Genomic DNA, 3,726 nt, shown 5'->3' on the forward strand with positions numbered 1-3,726 from the left:
GATTAACTTCTTAAATAAAATCAAGTGTTTACTCACTTTACTCTCCCATGGATTCAGAACACTGGCAGGTGGTTAAAAGTATTGTTAGAAATTAATTGATCCCAGGCCAGGAGGGGTGGCTCTCGCCTGTACTTCCAGAACTTTGGGAGGCCAAGGCAGGCAGGATCACTTGAAGTCAGGAGTTCAAGACCAGCCTGGCCAACATGGTGAAACCTCGTATCTACCAAAAATACAAAAATTAGCTGGGTGTGGTGCCAGGTGCCTGTAATCCCACCTACTCTGGAGCTTGAAGCAGGAGAATTGCTTGAACCCAGGAGGTGGAGACTGCAGTCAGCTGAGATGGCACCACTGCACTCCAACCTGGATGACAGTGAGACTCCATCTCAAAAAACAAAAAGAAATTAATTGATCCCAGAAATCTCATCTAATATCCACAATGAAAGTTTAGGGTAGTCAAGATATAGGCCACACTTTTAGATGTCAGATATTGAATCAGCTATGTCAATGTAGACATGATCTGCTCTATGGTAAGATATGTTGTATGCTGCTTGCTATGCCTACTGTAGGCGCTTAGTAAAGATAGGGGGATGGAAATGTAAATACATGTATAAATTCAATCTTGGATTGCAGGTTTCTCCTCAGAAAAAAAGTAGAAAAGTGACAGTTTTTCATGATTTAGCACTGATTAACATGATTCACAGCTTCTTTCTTCTCTCTCTCTCTTTTTCTTGGTGGCATAAGGACAAACTTTATTGAGAACAGCACTAGTTCTCTTTCTCCTGCCCGGTCTTGGTTCCCTAGACTATCCCGTCTGGCGGGCAGCAATGAGACCCACTTTGGCCAGCAGAGGCATCTCTGCAGATGGTGGAGGGCTTGCCGATGTGCTGGTGGCTGCCACCTCCCTCCGAAATGATGCTCCACAGGGTTCATGTTCACACCCCACCCCGTACTTGTGGCCAGCAGTTCCTCTTTGCCTTATATCTGTGGTATGCCCAGCCAGCCTTCAGGATGGGTTTGTCAATTTGGCCACCTCCAGCCACCACACCAACCACAGCTCTGTTGGCTGAGGAGGTAACCTTCTTGGAGCCAGAGGGTAGCTTTACACGGCTCTTCTTGGTCTCAGGATTGTGGGAGATAACTGTGGCATAGTTCCCTGATGCCTGGGTCAGCTTGCCATGGTCTCTAGGCTTCTCCTCCAAGCAGCACATGATTGTACCTCTCAGGCATGGTATCCACAGAGAGAACATTGCCAATGTTGAGCTGGGCAACATTTTACTATTTCATATTAAAATGAGGTTTAATATTTTATAATAATGGTGCTAGAATTTCAATTCATAATTTGAAAATGTAACAAGCATTTTTTTAAAGACTCTGTCTCTCAAGCCCTCCACAAAATGTGACCTCTTCCCACAATCAATTGAGACTTGCAGTGGCAAACCCCTCTCTTGCTGAATTTGATTGATCCACCTTCCATCCTGATTTCCACAGAGACCCTGGGCTGGTGCTGATGGAGCATTTTTTGTCATGGGGGAGGAAATGATCCTTTCAGAACATTTAGCAATAAAAGCAGTGCAAAAATAAATCAACGTCCCTGACCTTTCTCTCTCCCTATTTTTGGCAACAAACCTTTTACTCCAAGTTGTCATTTTTCTACCCATGCTCAGAATCACCTTCTTATTCTCCAGGTGTTCCTAAAACTTCTCCATAAATTTCTCAGTGGCGTCTCCATTTCTTTCTATTTCCAGTTATGTCCCCATGGCTGGCTTTGAGACCGTTAGTATCACGTATTAATTATTCATCTTCTGTCATCTTCCTACCTTACATTCCACTACTGGTAGTAATTTAGCTGATTATTTTCTGTATTTTCAGTAAAAGCCTTGTTAAATGAAAATCCTTAAACATGTATTCTGTGAACAGGTTCTCACCATTATCTATAATAATAATATAGATTGAGTATCCTTAATCTGAAAATCCAAAATTCAAAATGTTTCAAAATCCAAAACTTTTTTAAAAAATTGTATTTTATTTTAGGTCCTGGGATACTTGGGCAGAATGTGCAGGTTTCTTACATAGGTAAACGTGTGCCATGGTGGTTTGCTGCACTTATCCCAAAACTTTCTCAGCAGTGACATAATATTAGAAGGAAATGCTCCTTGGAACATTTCAGATTTGGGATTTTCAAATTTGGGATGCTGAACCATTGTAATGCAAATATTCCATGATCCGAACAAATCTGAAATCCAGAATGCCTTTGGTCCCAAGCACTTTGGATGAGGGATGCTCAATCCGTAATAACAGTAGCTGTGGTAATAGCTATCTTTCACTAAGTAGCTACATTATTCCTGGTACATTTCTAAGCTCTTTAAAATATACGTATTGTCTCATTTAGCCCTTACCATCACTTGATGGAGTTTTATTGCAATCCCTATTTTACAGACGAGGAAACTGACATGTAGAGTCTGAAAGTAGCATCTCAGGCCCCATGCTTGTAGGCCTACAATTCAAACTCAGGCTCTTCTGCCTGGAGACTTTATGCTTTACTATTCTATACCGCTCCTAGATGTGGGAGAGCTAACCCACAAGGTTTACATATTCTAAATTTTAGCAACTGATGTCAAATTGACCTTAAAATGGACGCTATAAATTTAACTCCCATTATAGTTAGTAATAGTTATAATTAGTAAGCATGAATAAGACCTGCTATTTGATAGCAAAACAGGTGACAGTAGTCAATAATAATTTAATTGTATATTTTAAAATAACTAAAAGAGTATAATAAGATTACATGTAAAGGGATGGATATCCTATTCTCCATGATGTGGTTATTATGAATTGCATGCCTGTATCAAAACATTTCATGTACTCCATAAATATATACACCATGTAGCTACAAAAATTTAAAATTAAAATTAAAAAAAATAATAAATTTAACTCCCAGAAATATTGAACAATAGTGGTGCTTTCAGTCTTTTATTTATATCTACCTACCAGATCAGGAAAACCAAAATCTCAGGTCTTAAAATGTGTATTCCTGGGTGTTGAAGGCCGAACGAATGAGGGTCATGATCAACTCAGTATACCACTGAAGGCCATATGAGTAAACAGCAAACTGTTTCTCATGAAAGCAGGATGTTGGCAAACTGACAAACTGGGTCTGCCACCCAGAAGGAATGCTAAGGGCTGCCACGACCCAGGCACAAGTGTTTCTTGTGATTAGGCACATCTGAAGCCTGTTAGCAATAAAGTGAACCTGTGATCAATGAAGCAGCTGACCAATTGTTACCTCCTCCTCCCTGCTCTTTCTACTCAATAAATACGAAGGGCTGTAGAAGCTCAGCACGGCTGCCTTTGCTCATTAGGAGAAGGGAGCCCTTTTCTTCTTCCCCTGGCCCCTTCCTTTAAAATAGTTTCTTTTGTCTGAAGCTTTCATTTCTATGTTCTTCCTCCTTCGTTCAGTCTCCTAATGACAGTCTCAGGTAGTAACAGTAGTAACTGCCGTAGTGATAGTCTCAAGTAGTAACTGTGGAAGTCTGCCATACCTGGGGGCAAATTTTAGCCATAAAAATATACTGTATTCTTCAGTGCATTAGTCTGAATTGTTGAATGTTGGAAGTGAAAGAATACAGAGTGGTACTATAGCCTCCTATTTTATGATGGTAAAACCTGAGTATCTGAGGGTTAATATGACTTCCATAAGTTTCCACATAGAAATACAAGGTTTGGGGA

General features: G+C 40.4%; 1 pseudogene; it reads right to left on the reverse strand.

The window, feature by feature from the left end:
* RPL8P2 (ribosomal protein L8 pseudogene 2) lies at positions 733-1,266 on the reverse strand (annotated as a pseudogene).

This window comes from Homo sapiens, chromosome 21, assembly GCF_000001405.40.
Source record: "Homo sapiens chromosome 21, GRCh38.p14 Primary Assembly".
NCBI classification, from domain to species: Eukaryota; Metazoa; Chordata; class Mammalia; order Primates; family Hominidae; genus Homo; species Homo sapiens.